Source organism: Homo sapiens, chromosome 17, assembly GCF_000001405.40.
Source record: "Homo sapiens chromosome 17, GRCh38.p14 Primary Assembly".
NCBI classification, from domain to species: Eukaryota; Metazoa; Chordata; class Mammalia; order Primates; family Hominidae; genus Homo; species Homo sapiens.
Window position 1 is genome coordinate 51172730 of NC_000017.11, and position 17367 is coordinate 51190096.

A 17367-nucleotide genomic window follows, 5' to 3' on the forward strand; every position below is an offset into this window, starting at 1 on the left:
TCAATTATAAATTTATATTTCCTATAAAAAACTGGTAAAAGCTAAATGTCACTCCTATATATAACAATCCTATGCTTTTTTTTTTTTTTTAGACGGAGTCTTGCTCTGTCGCCCAGGCTGGAGTGCAGTGGCCTGATCTTGGCTCGCTGCAATCTCTGCCTCCCGGGTTCAAGCAATTCTCTGCCTCAGCATCCCGAGTAGCTGGGTTTACAGGCGCCTGCCACCACACCCAGCTAATTTTTGTATTTTTAGTAGAGGTGGGGTTTCACTATCTTGGCCAGGCTGGTCTTCAACTCCTGACCTTGTGATCCACCTGCCTCGGCTTCCCAAAGTGCTGGGATTATAGGCGTGAGCCACTGCGCCCGGCCAATTCTATGCTTTTTATGTATACTGCTATGGTAAATATTAGACAATGACATTGTGACATAAGTACGTATTTGGTCTCTGCCATTGGTTCCTGGCACACAGCTCCTAAAATCCTTGTAATCTCAAATGTTAGGTTTCTTATATGCTAATGATATGACTGGTGGCTGTGGGGGCTCCTGGATAGCCTCCCTACAACCTCCAAGAAGAGGAGAGGGGCTAAGGTTGAATTGCTCACCAATGGCCAATTATGCCATCAATCATGCCTATGTAATGAAGCCTCCATAAAACCCCAGAATAGGGTTTGGGGAGCTTCCAGATTGCTGAGGTGCTTGGAGGGTGGTACACTCTGAGAGGGTAGCTCCATGCCATTTTCCACATACCCTGCCCCATGCATCTGGTCCATCTATATACTTTATTTTTTTAGAGATGGGGGTTTCGCTATGTTGTTCAGGCCAAGCTTTGAACTGGCTCAAGCAGTCCTCCCCACTCAGCCTCTTGAGTTGCTGGGATCACAGATGCGCACCACTGTGCCCAGCCACATCCTTTATTAAACCAATACATGTAAGTAGTAGTTCTCTGAGTTCTATGATACTCTCTAGCAACTTAACTGAATCTAAGAAGGGGGTCATGGGAACCCTTAATTTATGGCCAATTGGTCAGAAGAACAAAGACATAACCTGGGGCTTGCAGTTGGCATTTGAAATGCGGGCAGTCTTGGGGGCCGGAGTCCTTAACCCATGGGATCTGACTCCAGGTAGACAGTATCAGAATTGAAGACACCCAGCTGGTGTCTGCTGGACACTATGTCTAGTGTCAGAAGTGTTGAGGTCAGTGACAGAGTAGAGAGAAAACAGCTCAATTTTCCTTTGGAATGAAGTAAGAAATACTTTTAATGTTTTAGTACAAAAAAAATGTGTAAAGATTCTAGTTACTAGTCAACAATTGATAAGTTTATTTTAAAAATCATTCCTCAATTTCAAATGTAATTCATATATGTTTATATATGCTACATTCTCATCACAGTTAAGCAGAGTTTAATACTAACATCTTAAGAGTCTGGGGCAGGGCCTGAGCACCTGCATTTCACTGTGCTACCAGTGACACTTATGCATGCTGGTGGAGGTACCTCGGTTAGGAGCAGCAGCAGAGCATGGGCTTACTCTGCCAGGGCTGTTCAAAGAACTTTATATACATGCATTCATTGCATCTTCATGACTCTTGGGTGGCTGGCACCAGTATCCCCATTTTACAACGGAGGAAACTGAGCCAAGTTACATAACTAGCCGTGGAGGAGGAGCCAGTTTCCAACCCGATAGCTGTCTTCAGACTCCATGCCCACGGCCACTATGCTTTACCTTTTTTTTTTCTTTTTGAGATGGAGTCTCGCACTGTCGCCCGGGCTGGAGTGCAGTGGTGCGATCTCGGCTTACTGCAACCTCTGCCTCTCAGGTTCAAGTGATTCTCCTGCCTCGCCTCCTGAGTAGCTGGGATTACAGGTGCCCGCTACCACACCCGGCTAATTTTTTTGCATTTTTAGTAGAGACGGGGTTTCACTATGTTGGCCAGGCTGGTCTTGAACTCCTGACTTTGTGATCCACCCGACTTGGCCTCCCAAAGTGCTTGGGATTACAGGTGTAAGCCACCTTGCCCGGCCTTTTTTTTTTTTTTTTTTTAAACTGTCTTTACTTTCCCAAGTGATGTGAGGAAGTGAGTTTGGAGGGTAAGTGACGTCAACCTGTAGTGGTGAAAGCTGAGTAAGGCTTTGGATGTTAGGACTCAATTTGTTAGAACTGAATGAGAAATACAGAGTAGACTATGGTGAGATTTAAAGTACTGCCTCTGGGCCGGCGCTGTGGCTCACAACTGTAATCCCAGCACTTTGGGAGGCCGAGCCAGGCAGATCACCTGAAGTCAGGCGTTGAGACCAGCCTGACCAATATGGTGAAACCCTGTCTCCACTAAAAATACAAAATTAGCAGGGCATGATGGTGCATGCCTGTAATCCCAGCTACTTGGGAGGCTGAGGCAGGGGAATCACTTGAACCCAGGAGGTGTACATTGCAGTGAGCCGAGATTGCGCCATTGCACTCCAGCCTGGGCAACAAGAGCAAAACTCCGTCTCAAAAAAAAAAAAAAGTACTGCCTCTGGAGAGTTTAGGTCCTAATCCTGCACCAGCTAGGTGTGTGAAAGTAACAACTCATTTATTTATTTGAGAGACAGTCTCGGCTCTGTCGCCCAGGCTGGAGAGCAGTGGTTCACTCAGTTTACTGCAGCCTCTGCCTCCTGGGTTCAAGTGATTCTCGTGCTTCAGCCACCCAAGAAGCTGGGACTACAGGTGTGTGCAAATACGCCCAGGTGATTTTTGTAGTTTTCGTAGAGATGGTGTTTCACCATGTTGGCCAGGCTGGTCTCAAGCAATCTGCCCACCTTGGCCCTCCAAAGTGTTAGGATTACAGGCATGAGTCACTGCGCCTGGCTGAAAATGACATATCATTCAGAACATCTCATGCTTTCAATAAACCTTTTTTTTTTTAAAAAAAATAGTAAAAGTGCATTATTATTTAAAATGCATTACCTTAGCTGGATGCAATGGCTCATGCCTGTAATCCCAGCACTTTGGGAGGACAAGGCAGGAGCATCCCTTGAGCTTGAGACACTTGTTTCTGGGCATAACTAGTTTCGCGAGAAGCATGTAATGGTTCAAAGAAATACATGTGGCTGGGCGCGGTGGCTCATGCCTGTAATCCCAGCACTTTGGGAGGCTGAGGCGGACAGATCACGAGGTCAGGAGTTCAAGACCAGCCTGGCCCATATGGTGAAACCCCCATCTCTACTGAAAAATACAAAAATTAGCCGGGCGTGGTGGCGTGTGCCTGTAGTCCCAGCTACTTGGGAGGATGGGGCAGGAGAATTGCTAGAACCCAGAAGATGGAGGTTGCAGTCAGCTGAGATCACGCCACTGTACTCCAGCCTAGGTGACAAAGTGAGACTCCATTTCAAAAAAAAAAAAAAAAAAAAATGCTGGGTGCAGTGGCTCATGCCTGTAATCCCAGCACTTTGGGAGGCCGCCGAGGCAGGCAGATCACGAGGTGAAGAGATCAAGACCATCCTGGCCAACATGGTGAAACCCCGTCTCTACTAAAAATACAAAAATTAGCTGGGTGTGGTGGTGTGCACCTGTACTCCCAGCTACTTGGGAGGCTGAGGCAGGAGAATCACTTGAACCCAGGAGGCAGAAGCTGCAGTGAGCCAAGATCATGCCACTGCTCTCCAGCCTGGTGACAGGGTGAGACTCCATCTCAAAAAAAAAAAAAAAAAAAAAAAAAATATATATATATATATATATATCACCATGATAGTAAATGAGCACCCACCTAGGAATTCCAGCTTACTACAGCAGCTGTTCAAACCACTTACGGTAGAAAGCAGGGCAGAAATCAGGCTCTTTTCTTGGAATGCGTTATGTGAAATTAATCCCTGAAGAGGCCCAGTCCATCTCATTACTGTCTTACATATTGTTTCCCAATTCATAAAAATCTCTACCAACTGCATCTGCAGTAAAAGTTGAATAATTTTCCAAAGAGCCAGCTGTTGGTAAAGGAGGGCTTCTTTGCATTCCCTTTTAATGTTAAGGGCAAGAGCTAGCTGGGATACTTTATTTACATCCAATTAACTTTGCTGCTGAGGTTAATGGAGTTAAAAAAAAGTCTCCTACTAGCCAGGCATGGTGGCTCACGCGGTCAGGAGATCAAGACCATCCTGGCTAACACGGTGAAACCCCGTCTCGACTAAAAATACAAAAAATTAGCCGGTCGTGGTGGCAGGCGCCTGTAGTCCCAGCTACTCAGGAGGCTGAGGCAGGAGAATGGTGTGAACATGGGAGGTGGAGGTTGCAGTGAGCCGATATAGCGCCACTGCACTCCAGCCTGGGTGACAGAGCAAGACTCCATCTCAAAAAAAAAAAAAAAAAAAAAAGTCTCCTACTAAGCATGCCAACCCCAAAACACGATGTTCTAGCTAAGATGATTTAATTTCCCCATAAAGGTCCCTATTCACCTTGGCTCCTGCTGTGGTTTTTGCCCTTTCCCTCCCTGCCCATGAAATCCCACCTCCAATGCAACCTCATCCATATGTCTAACCATACTACTCTTGGCTCCCTTGGCAGCTAGTGGAAAATTCTTCCTTACAGCACTCATGTGCCTGCTACCCCTTGTAAGAGGAAGGGGCTGATCCAACTTTCATAGGGGTCTCTGACTGCTTATAGAGGGCACGCAATAGAAAAGCAACCCCCCAAACCAAAGCATATTAAAGAACTGCTCAAATCCAGCTTAACTTTAACATTTTATTTTGTGTAAAAAAGGGCAAATTTAGTGAATTATTTTCATCTTGTACACAAAGTTATAATTTTAATGCTTTTCACATCCATGCTGAAAATTTGCAATTTGGTAAAAATGAAAGGAACATAAATTTTTCCAAAGGAATTTTTCACGCCATTATATATACACTTCATGAGAAAGTTTCAAACACTTTCTCAATGATCACGAGTTACCAAGAAAATAAAAGATTAAATTTGTACAGATATTGATCTATATATCAAATACATACAGAAATGATGTAAAAACCTTATGCAGTTTACTTTGACCTCTGTCCTCAAAAGATTTGCCCAGGGACAGATGCTTTTCTTTTGTATAAATGACTGTGGCTTTATTTAAAATATGAAAATCAAAGGAAGAAACCCAGTTTAATCACAGTATTTTTAAAATCCCTTCCCAATATTAAAGGATCATTACCAATATATAGCACCATAATACAAATATTGATGGGAGAGGGTATTCACATCACGCAAAATTAATAATAATAATAAAAACAAACAAACACTGAAAACCCGTGTTAGTATCGTAGAATAAGAAGTTGATAACAGCTTTAGCTTTCCTCATACACGGCAAGGAAAAGGTTAAAGAGTTTAAACTACCAAAAGTCCCCAAATAAATCCTAACAGGAAAAACAAAACAAAACAAAAACAAACCCAAGGTCAGCAGTACATTTTGAACCGTAAAAGAGAATGGGGCGATTGAGTTGTACAACTGGAGTTATGGCTAAGACATAAATCTCCTCTGCATTAATTATTTTTCGGTTCGTCGGCAGTAGGAGTTAGTGTGTGAACAATGAAAGAGGGCTTTAGGTTGTGTTCAGACTGTAGAAAAGTCCTTACCAACCTTCAACTGTTGGTCACGGGATCAAGACAAGAAACACTTCATGAATTAGGAAATTCTAAAACACTCAGAGCCTGGGTTTGCTATAGAATTGGAAGCTTATGAAACCTGGGTATAAATGAGCATTTCATAGATTACCAGGACTGACTAGCTCCAAATCCTCTCTCTCCTGGTTTAGTCAGTTCCCCATGGAGCTCCTAAATCCAAGGTACTGGCAGAGTACACTACACAACAGGCTTCTTGTGCCTGTGCTGTGGAATTAGTCCTGGGTTTAATTCAGTGAGCCTGAGAATAAAGACTGCTCTAACCCTTGCTTTGGAATACTTCTAGGCTTTAAGTTTACAAGAAGATTTTTCAAAGTTAAAGATATGGGAAGTGTGAGGATGTCACATTTACAGTAGGTCCCTCTCAGCAATGTTAAGATAAATATCCAGTAATTTAACAGCTGAATTCACATATATTTGACACATGAGAATCAACTTGCGTTGATGTGATCTGCATTTATGCCCCTAAAGAGTCAGTATTAAGAAATGGTGACATGCGATTCCATACATTCTTACACTATAAAGTAACAAATTTTACTTCCAGTAGCTATTATAAAACCTTATGTTATTAACCCCTCTTGCATAGAATGAGGTAAACCTGTGCGTATTACCAATGCTATTATTCCCAAAAGTAGAGCAATATTTTAGAAAATAAATTGCTGGTTTTTTTTAACGTTCTATGCATTTTAAAATTCAAACAAAAGTCTTACCTAAAATGGTCTCCTGGGGCTTTCCATTAACATTTTTTAAAGCATTCCATAGGCTGAAGGACTGTAGAGGTTAATCATTTTGATTAATTTCTAATTAGCCCTACCTATATTCCAGAGGAGATGGTCAATATTACCACTCTGAAGAGGCCAGGCTAAGACCCAGAAGCACTTCTAGAACAGATGCAATTAATTCCTGAGAGTTTAGTTTATGAACCTCACTGGTAAACGCTAGAGCGCTCTCATTCAGTCACAACTCAGTAGAAAGTTAGAAAATGCAGAGAGCAAACCTTTCACCAGTTTACCCTTGTATCCTTTTTTTTTTTTTAAAAGGAAGTCATATGAATTTTAAAACAGGGAATGTTCAAAATGGTCCAAATCGGTTATTATTAAAATAAATCCTGAATACAATTAAAGACAATTTTATATATATATATATATATATATATATATATATATATATATATATATATATATGGAATTTTAAGAAAATTAAATTCTCTTTCAAATTAGTTTTCTACCAAATCCAGGATAGATAAAAGCAGAGCTGGAATGATTTTGAAATCTAAACTTATTTTGGCTTTGAATAACTTTCAATTCGATTCTCCTAATACAGAACATCTGTTTTTGGTTGTGGTTATACGAAGCTGTTATTTCACAGATAGAGGGAAATGGCAGAGAACTGATCAGAATCCCTTTCGTGGGGTATTTTTTTTAGAAAGGAAAATAAACTAAGGACAACATTACATTTTCCCCAACCCCTCAATGTGTAGACTGAGATCCTGAATATCTTGTCAACCATTCCAGTTTAACACTTTAGTGTTAGGATAATTCTAATCATTTTTTTAATTAAAAGAGAACATATAAAAGTATCCAGAGTTCTTCCAGTTTCATACAGAACTCCAAATAAATTTTCACAGAATGAAAAATATTTCTGTACAAACATTTAAAATGGGCTGCAATAAAATGCCAACAAGAGAAATAATGACCCTTCCATGACCTTTGTGGTGATGACCCCTCCATGAGGAGTTCAGTTGCATATTTCTGCAGCAAAAGAAGCTGGAGATGTGACTGGCCTAACTTCTAAAAATCCCAAAATCTCCCAACAGGTACCAAAAAGGTTCATTTGTAATGACAGTTCATTTGCATTTAACAGCTATATCCTTCTTAAATCATTTCCTTCAATCCTGCTACCTAAACTTTAATGTTACCAAAAAAGTTAGAATTTCAGTTCTTGTTAACAATGCACATAAATCCAAACTTGGAAAATATTACAAAATTCTTTCAAAAGCTTCAAATACAACACAAAAATTGTCCATCTTTATAAATTGAAAATTTCCCACCCCCCTGCCCCCCCGACTAAAATAGCTCCCCCACCCACCTGAAAAATCTGGAACTGAAATCTTCTATGTTTAGCAAAATGTCCCAGTAGAGTAGCCCCCTGTACAGCTGGATTGATTATAAATCAGTCCTGTGTAAAATCCTTCCCCACCCGCCCTCAGTTTCTAAGCCACCTCATGGCTCTTGTTTGATGTAGAAGTTGGCAGAGCCATTGCTTTCCTGATCAGACGCTCCTTGAAGGAAATTATAATCCTCTCCATCCAGCAACTCCTCCTTCAGCTGCAGTGTTGTCACTGAATGAAAGAGAGAGAAACATATGGGCATTAAGGCTCTCTAGAGTACTCGGATTGCCTGTGATCTTCGTGTTCCGTCAGCTTTACAGTTATTAAGACTTCTTCATTTCTTCAGTTAATTTTAATTTTCCAGTATATTAGCAGTTAAGAAACATTCTGGAAAGGAACAGTACTGTGTAATGGACATCTTCAATGAAATGTTCGCAGTAATGGTGCTCACTAATCTGACTGGGATAATGAGAATTTTGTTTGTGATTAAGTATTCACTTTTATGTCAATGTTTGTACAAACAATGATGTAGTTCTTTCATGGTTCTGAAGTACAATCTTTTTTTTTTTTTTTTTTTGAGATGGAGTCTCACTCTGTCATCAGGCTGGAGTGCAGTGGAGTGAACTCGGCTTACTGCAACCTCCGCTTCCCGGTTCAAGCGGTTCTCCTGCCTCAGCACCGCCCCCCCAAGTAGGTGGGACTACAGGCACCCACCACCACGCCCAGCTAATTTTTGTATTTTTAGTAGAGACAGGGTTTCATCATGTTGGCCAGGATGGTCTTGATCTCTTGACCTTGTGATCCGCCCACCTCAGCCTCCCAAAGTGCTGGGATGACAGGCGTGAGCCACCGTGCCCGGCCTCAAGGAGTACTTTTATTAAAAAGATTCTCTGAAGAAAAAGATATAAATCTGATGTTAAATAAAAACATTAAAAAATTATAAATTACATAAGGATGTAACATATATTTTTAAAAAGTAAATCTGGGCTGGATGTGGTAGCAGCCTGGGCAATGTAGCAAATCCCCATCTCTACAAAAAACAAAAAAAAGCTGGGTATGGCTGTGCAAGCCTGTAGTCCCAGCTACTCATGACTGAGGCAGAAGGATTGCTGGAGCCCAGGAGTTCGAGATTACAGTGACCTATGATTGTGTCATTGCACTCTAGCCTGAGTGGCAGAGTGAGACCCTGTGTACCTCTCCTCCTACCAAGAAAAACTAATATTAAACTCCTGAGCCGAGTGTGGTGGCTAATGCTTACAGTCCCAGCTATGTAGGAGGACAAGGCGGGAGGCCAGTTCAAAGCTGAGTGCCTGCCTGAGTTCTTATCTGATGACTTACTTTTTAACAAAAACAAATTAACAGTATAGCCATGTTTCCGTAGGTCTTTAGTATGGAAAACGGTTTTTCAGTTTCATATCCCCAAAGTGCTGGGATTACAGGTGTGAGCCACAGCGCCTGGCTGTGTTCAGGTTACCGTCTAACCAAAGTTGAGCTCAAATAATTTAAAGAACAGATGAGGTGGTCTTTTGTGCTAACACATCCACTTGAATCTAGTCCCGTGTTGAGCAATGCTACCTTCTTTCCCAACTTCTTTAGCATACACGGATCTGCTAAATCAGAAGTCAGAAACTGCTTTTTCCACTCCTGCCTGGGCCCTGTGCATTTTTTTTTTTTTTTTTGAGACATAGTCTCACTCCATCACCCAGGCTGGAGTGCAGTGGCATGATCTCAACTTACTGCAACTTCTGCCTCCCGGGTTCAAGTGATTCTCATGCCTCAGCCTCCCGAGTGGCTGGGATTACAGGTGTGTGCCACCATGCCTGGCGAATTCTTTTGTATTTTTAGTAGAGATGGGGTTTTGCCATGTTGGCTGGGCTGGTCTTGAACTCCTAGCCTCATGTGATCCACCCACCTTGGCCTCCCAAAGTGTTTGGATTACGGTGTCAGCCACCGCGCCTGGCCTCTTTATACATTTGAATGGTTCTTTACACATTTGACTGAATATTTCGATACAAGAGATTTCACATGAAAATCTGAAAAGTAGATAGACTTGGAAACATAAGCGCAGCATCCTTAAAGAGCTGTGATCAATGGGAACTGACTGGCTACTTACTACCCCCTGAATCTGGGCAGCCTGAGATCTCTGTCCACCACAGAGCTCACTGCCCAGGTTGCCCACAATACTCACACAGGTAACCACCAGCCCCTGCAGGCATCTGGCTCCAGATCAAGGGTAAAAGTTCTTCATTTTTCTCTATTATGTATCTTTTCATTAATAAATGGAGAGGATACACATATATGGGGTGTAAATTGGAAACTGCTCATACAGAGAAAAAAATCAACTGATGAGAATGAGAACTCAGCAGAGTATCTGGATAGGTAGTATGCCACTTAAGTTTTTCATGAAGCAATGGCAGTGTCATCATGTGGAACAATATTAAAATTGCTACAACTTTTAAAGTCAAATAGTACAGTCAGAAAAATAATTCATGTCTTTATTTTTTTAGTAGAGATGGGGTTTCACCATGTTGGTCAGGCTGGTCTTGAACTCCTGACCTCGTGACCCTCCCACCTTAGCCTCCCAAAGTGCTGGGATTACAGGCGTGAGCCACCGTGCCTGGCCCATGTCTTGATTTTAGTTACAAGCAATTAGTTTAAAAATAATGGCTGCTGACATCTTACTTGCTAATTTAAAGAATAATCTTTTTTTTTTTTTTTTTTTTTTTTAAGATAGTCTCGCTCTGTCACCTAGACTGGAGTGCAGTGGCACAATTTCGGCTCACTGCAACCTCCACCTCCCAGGTTCAAGTGATTCTCCTGCCTCAGCCTCCCAAGTAGCTGGGATTTACAGGCGTGCACCACCACACCTGGCTAATTTTTGTATTTTCAGTAGAGATGTGGTTTCCTCATTTTGGCCAGCTGGTTTCAAACTCCTGATCTCAGGTGATTCACCTGCCTCAGGTGATTCCCCACATGGGATAACCTCCCAAAGTGCTGGGATTACAGGCGTAAGCCACTGCGCCTGGCCAAGAATAATCTTTTGAGAGATGGCAATTTATTTTATTTGGTACTGGTTTTGGTACTGGTGATCAAAAATTTAACAGACCAAAGACAGAAAAGTGAATACGTTATGCATATAATCATAGCAAACACCCATCAGACTGTTCAAAGGTACAGCAAACAAGACTGTGCAGTTAGTTCTTCCTTTCATTAAAAAATTACTTAATATAAATAAAAATGCTTTTATGAGGAATGATATCAAATGCATGACAGTTATCCTTCAAATCTAGCCAGCATGCAGTCATTCAGCGTGAGGGCCATTTTAACAATACCTAGAAAATACACACATGGAAAAGAAAACAAAACCCAAGTTTCATTAAAGGTGCAGTACCCACAATAAAAGGTTGATTAAAACAGTATCTTGTTCTATGATGACTGGATGGCTAAATGAATGAGAAAAGAATTAATGTGCTTCAAGATCAAACATGTTTCATTCAAACGGATGTTTTTTAAAAAAATGTAAGAAAGGTAAGTTGAGATTCTAAAGCATATCTTGAAGCAATATGCATTACTGCTAACAACAAATTTCTGGATTATGCTTCTAGTCATGTTAAAATATGAAAATGATGTGCTAAAAAAAGTCACTCAAGATAAAGGTGAAACACTCACTCAGATGTGCAATGTTTTAATGTAAAGTTTCACTGTTTTCATGGAATCTAAAATAAAGCCTGTCTGGTTATCTTCACATGAATCATTTCTCCTTTCCAGGCCTTCTCAATAAATGATGGATGAAATAAAACAGATCCTGTGGTTGAATGTCACTTTCTACACAAATGCCTTTTCTTTTCTCAGCTCTGTTTTTAGAAGGAAGTCACTTTGTTGACACTAATCACTACCATTTCAGGAGATAAGCTAACTGAAATCATATTTTTCCAGCTACGAAGCCCATAAATAATAAACTCTTTCAACAGCTAATGAAACCATAGCTTTCAGATAGTTAAGGTAGCAATGTAGTCCCTACTTAGTTTCATCAGAGAAAAATCACACCAAGTCCCACAAGTTGTGCCCCAGCTCAGAATATACTATAGACATCGGTGGAAGAAGGAAGTCACATAGGATGCCAGGTAGTTTCCATCTAGTTCGTCTACTCTAAATTCTTGGGTTTTGCCAGTGCCAGAAGTTCCATTTTAAATGAATCAGTAACCTATCACAAAATGTGACATACATCTTCAAAACCAGCCTCATGCTTAAAGAAAATACATCCAAGATCCAATAAAAGCTCAAATATATTTGGAACTCACAATATCCATACTTAATTAAGTAATGCAAGACTATTTCATAAATAAGTGCAAAAAGAAAAAAACTTAGACAAGAAAGGAAACAGGAACGCTCTTTAGACTTTGAACATTTTTCTGTTAAAGAGCAGGTAACACTGGATTTACAATCCTAATTTGTTTTTCGTACAAAAGAAGTAGTGTAATTTCCTCTGGATGTAAGAACATCACAGTGATCTTCAGAGAAAAAGACTGGGAAGGGGGCAAGATGGCCTAATACATTATGAGGGAGGCAAAAGCTAAAGAACATATCCTAAAATGGCAAAAACCACCAAAAAACCAACAACGGAAACAAACAAGAAAACCCCCATAGGTGCAAAAATATTAGCAAACAGAAGAATGAGAAGAAAACAGAGCTAGGTAACAAGTCTCATCTAGGTTTTCAACATACAAGACATTTTAAAGAATGCTCATTACAGAAAACAAGTCTAAAAGCAATAGTTAGCATATGGCAGAACATATGCTAAGGCAGGTATAACTTTGGCTTTGAAGCTGTATGATCTGATCTGTACTCATGCCTGAAGTTCATCATACCTAAGTGAAGTTCTCATGCCCTATGATAATACCATGCTTGTTCTTAGGAATTACAAAGGGCAAAACCTTCTGCAGTCTTCCTTACAATCGACTACCTTGGCCTAACCAATTACACTCGAATCAAATGCCACTGACTAATCACTATACATACATAATCATGAACTTATGGAAATAATAAAATGCAGGTATTGAATTTCCAAATTTGTTATTCAACTAAGATTGTGATCAATGTTACTGCCACAACTAAAATTAAACTAGAACTCAAAACACATCCTTTCCATGAATGAGATACTATGAAATGTTATGAACAAAGCCTCGTTTTTCTGTTTTTTTAATCAGACTTATCCCTAATGACACACTTGTTCCCACGTCAAGTCACATACAATTCTGCAATGAGGAATGTTCAAAACCATGAAATATTCCAAGTTGTCTCACAATTCCAGAACTTGACATTATAACTACCCTTATTTGAAGCTCGGAAGTATTTTATAACAAAGTAAAAAATCCTTCCCTGATGTTTTGTCTTAGTGAAGTGACTACTAAGCACTAGTGAAATGAATTCTTTAGTTGAAAGAAAAAGAAAAAAAATTCAATGAGTCAGCATCTGTCATGCCAGACCATGCTTTGTCTCCCACCACCCTACCCAGTACTTTTACCCTCTGAAGTACCTGAGATGCTGATGTGACTAATTACCTGTTTTGAGGCTGGGACTGAACTCTCGGCTAGTGCTGGGAGGTGGGAAGGCCTCCGGGGCTGTCTGTGCTGGAAGGGTTCGATATGGAGGAGGAGTCAACTCTTCGTCACCAGAGAAGCTCCTCCGCACCCCACCTGTCATGGGCAGGCTCGACAAACTGACAGGCTTCTTCCCAATTGGCATCTTCCTCTCTAAATATCAAGTCAGACTAAAGTAAGCTTTCACTTACATGCGTGGTAAGAAAAGTGCATTATATAACTAGGAAAGCTGTGCTGCACAGGACACTCTCAAAAGAGAACCAATTATGCAAAGTTTGTATTTCTGAAAAGAAGGAAAGAGAGACTGACTGAATGTGTGTGTTGGGGGAGATTGTTTCTACTCTCCGAGAGTCTGGTAATAACTAGTTCTGACTCTCAAATTTAAAACAAGACAAAGTAAAATGAATTACAGAGAGCTTTAAGAACAGCTGGGCCGGCCGCAGTGGCTCACGCCTGTAATCCCAGCACTTTGGGAGGCCGAGGTGGGTGGATCACGAGGTCAGGAGATTGAGACCATCCTGGCTAACACAGTGAAGCCCCATCTCTACTAAAAATACAAAAATAGCTGGGCATGGTGGCAGGCGCCTGTGGTCCCAGCTACTCGGGAGGCTGAGGCAGGAGAATGGCGTGAACCTGGGAGGCGGAGCTTGCAGTGAGCCGAGATCGTGCCACTGCACTCCAACCTGGGCGACAAAGCAAGACTCTCGTCTCAAAAAAAAAAACCAAAACAAAACAAAACAAAAAGAACAGCTGAACAGCTGGCCAATTTCTTTCAAGAAAGTCTCTGCTTGAGATGGGATAAAAACCCAAAGGAAGGAAGAAAGGGTCTTAAAACACTACTTTTAGGTAGCATTTCATAGCTCATATAAGCCCAAACACTGGTGGAGAAATCAAAACAATTTAAATGTATTATCTGGGTGTAGGAGGTTACTGATATGAAATGTGCTCTCCTAACTTTTAGTTTACAATTCACTCTTTTAGAAAACACAATTCTTATTCTAAAATGTACTTCCAAATTCAAAGCTTATTGCCTGTAAATTCTTAAGCAATCTGATTTATTCTGAAACAAATTTATCAGGCTGGGCATGGTGGCTTATGCCTGTAATCCCAGCACCTTGGGATGCCAAGGCAGAAGAATGAGGATGGCTTCAGGCCAGGAGTTTCAGACCAGCCTGGGCAACACAGTGAGACCCATCTCTACAAAAAATAAAAAAAAATTGCTGGGCAATGCTGGAGTCTGATGTGGGAGATTTGCTTGAGCCCAAGGGTTCAAGGCTGCAGTGAGCTATGATTGCACCACAGTGCTCCAGGCTGGGCAATAAAGTGAGACCTTGTCTCAAAAAAAAAAAAAAAAAAGTATCACCCTTCAGCTATAGTTTTCTATACAAATATAAGCCTTCCAAGACATGTACAATGCTTTTGCCAACCAAAAAAAATACTCTGAACTCTGCAAATATTGAAGAACCAGGCATAGTGCATTAATCATATTGAAAGCTGAAGGATCAGCAGGGTACAGTGGCTCACACCTATGATCCCAGCACTTTGGGAGGCCGAGGCAGGTGGATCACTTGAGGTCAGGAGTTCAAGACCAGCCTGGCCAACATAGTGAAACCCCGTCTCTACTAAAAATACAAAAATTAGCCGTAAGTAGTGGTGCACACCTGTAATCCCACTACTTGGGAGGCTGAAGCAGGAGAATCGCTTGAATCCGGGAGGCAGAGGTTGTGGCGAGCCGACAGTGCACCACTGCACTCCAGCCTGGGAGACAGAGCAAGACTCTGTCTCAAAAAGAAAGAAAGAAAGAAAAAAAAAAAAAAAGCAAAGGGATCTTTATCTTTGTGACTGAGTTATGTCTGTTTTCTTCCAGATGACAGAATAAACCGAGTAAGAGCAATAAAAAATTATGCTTCACAAAATCAAAACTAAAAGGTAAATGTAAGCCACACAGTATTCCTATGTAAAATGATGTGGGATTTAAGCTGTTATTGAGTAGATTCAACTCTCAAGAGCCAAACCAAAATCACATGCAGCAACAACTTAAGACTTTTTCCTAATATACCACATACTCACAGATAAAAACGCAAGGAGCAATGTCCACTCTTACTACTTACAGTAGTCCCTGAAAATGGTGAGATTTAAAGCAGAAATCAGTACTGCTTTTCCTGCTCTAGAATTACATCTTAAGGAAAAGAGGCTTTTGAGACTAGAGAGTGTCTATGATCCTTCTGGCAGAACCTTATACTTATTCTCAAAAGTGTCAGTAATTATCCCTCCTTCGTGGCATGAACACAACTTACTACAAAGCAAGCTAGACCAATGAAGCTCATCAGCTGTTTCTGTACAATAAGCACTGCCAAAGAATATACCACTAACAGATGATCTTAAGTTCAAAAAGACCAACGAGCTGTAAGATGAAGCAACAGAGCCAGAATATGATAACCTACCAAGGCAAACGTAAAAACAAAAGGTTTTATAGCCCATCTGGTATTTATATCAGTCTGCCTGCAATGGATGACAGGTTTCTAAACCCCAAATACTTATTTGTGTAACTAAAGCTTAGTGAGAAAACTTTCTAACAAACTGCTGAGTAATAGAAAAAAATAAGAGGCGGCGGCACCATTAGAGTGAAAACTGCTGCTTCTTAATACGGCACTATACTTCCTTATCCTCAATTCCAACATTCAAATAGGTTTTTTTTTTTTTTTTTTTTTTTGAGAGGGAGTTTTGCTCTTGTTGCCCAGGCTGGAGTGCAATGGCGCGATCTCGGCTCACTGCAACCTCCGCCTCCCAGGTTCAAGCGATTCTCCTGCCTCAGCCTCCCGAGTGCTGGGATTACAGGCATGCGCCACCACGCCTGGCTAATTTTGCATTTTTAGTAGAGACGGGGTTTCTCCATGTTGGTCAGGCTGGTCTCGAACTCCTGACCTCAGGTGATCCGCCTGCCTCGGCCTCCCAAAGTGCTGGGATTATAGGCGTGAGCCACCGTGCCTGGCCTCAGGAAGTTTTTTTAAAAAGAACTTTGGCAACAAAGCCGTACCTCACTTGGTGACACTACTTATAATTTTTATTTGGGCCATTTAATGTAAATATTTATATATATATTTGCTTTAAAAATGTTTCAGAGTCTGGAGTGTTACATAATGTATGTTACACAGACTATATTTCTCTTCTAAAATCCAAAAAATTCTGAATTCCAATGCACATCTGGTCCCAAGGGCATCTAATGAGGTACTGTGGGTCCATAGTTCTTTTCTTTTCTATGTCCAAAGGACAATTTAAAGGTAGTAGAGATGATGTCATACTATTAGGAAATAGTGAAACATTATAGTTAAGGAATATGTTGCATATAGACCAAAATTCATTTTTTCAGTGAATCCAGAACTCTAGTAATGGTAAATATCACTAAAAACTGGGGTGCTAATATTTCTTCATTAATTACATATTTCTTTCCATGTTCCCAGCCCATTAATTCAAAACAGTTTTAACTCCACAAATCAGAAACAAATCCTACAAGAGTCACGCTGAGGGAGGCAAATGAATTGTCTACATAAAACTCACAGATAAGTTCTAAAAAGCAATGTCATATAGCCACTGAGTAATAAAAACCATTTTTAATTTGACATCTTGGAAAGAAAATTCTGAAATTCCAAAGTCTTATCCAACAGAAAGTGAAAGCAGACTTGTTATTTACTTCACAGAAAGCTTAGTGATCATATCTGCTATTGTCAGTCCACTGACATAAATGAAGTTCCCATGTGAATTCTTGCTACTCATTTAGATACATGAGAACTCCCTTTCATCAGGCTGGTTTGGCAATGCTCCCTAAAGTTCTTTTAGGTGAGTATCAGACCTGGCAAGCAGCTGGTGGGCAAAATAATTCTGGGCCTGTGGGAGGCTTGTGCCTATAAACGAGAGGTCAAGAGACAGGCCTGTAGGTTGCTACTTGTGTGTGGCTGACATGGGTTTTGTGCTGGGAGAAAACTTATTTTTCAAAGTACTACTATAGTGGACAGTAGAAATTTTTAAGTTTCCC

At 40.8% G+C, this 17367-nt stretch overlaps 1 protein-coding gene across 16 annotated transcripts in view; it reads right to left on the reverse strand.

Moving 5' to 3' along the window:
• Positions 1–4695: 4695 nt before the first annotated feature.
• Positions 4696–17367, reverse strand: part of MBTD1 (mbt domain containing 1) — an 83534-nt gene continuing 70862 nt past the window's right edge. For 13 of the 16 annotated variants that reach the window (XM_011524926.4, XM_047436322.1, XM_011524928.3 and 10 more), the window contains 2 exons: positions 13296–13487; positions 4696–7965 (listed from right to left, as the gene is read on the reverse strand). In XM_011524926.4, coding sequence (XP_011523228.1) covers positions 7847–7965; positions 13296–13487 — 311 coding nt within the window. In that variant the 3' untranslated portion in view covers positions 4696–7846. The remainder of the gene's footprint in view (positions 7966–13295; positions 13488–17367) is intronic. The other 3 variants (XM_005257468.6, XM_005257467.6, NM_017643.3) reach the window with 1 other exon arrangement.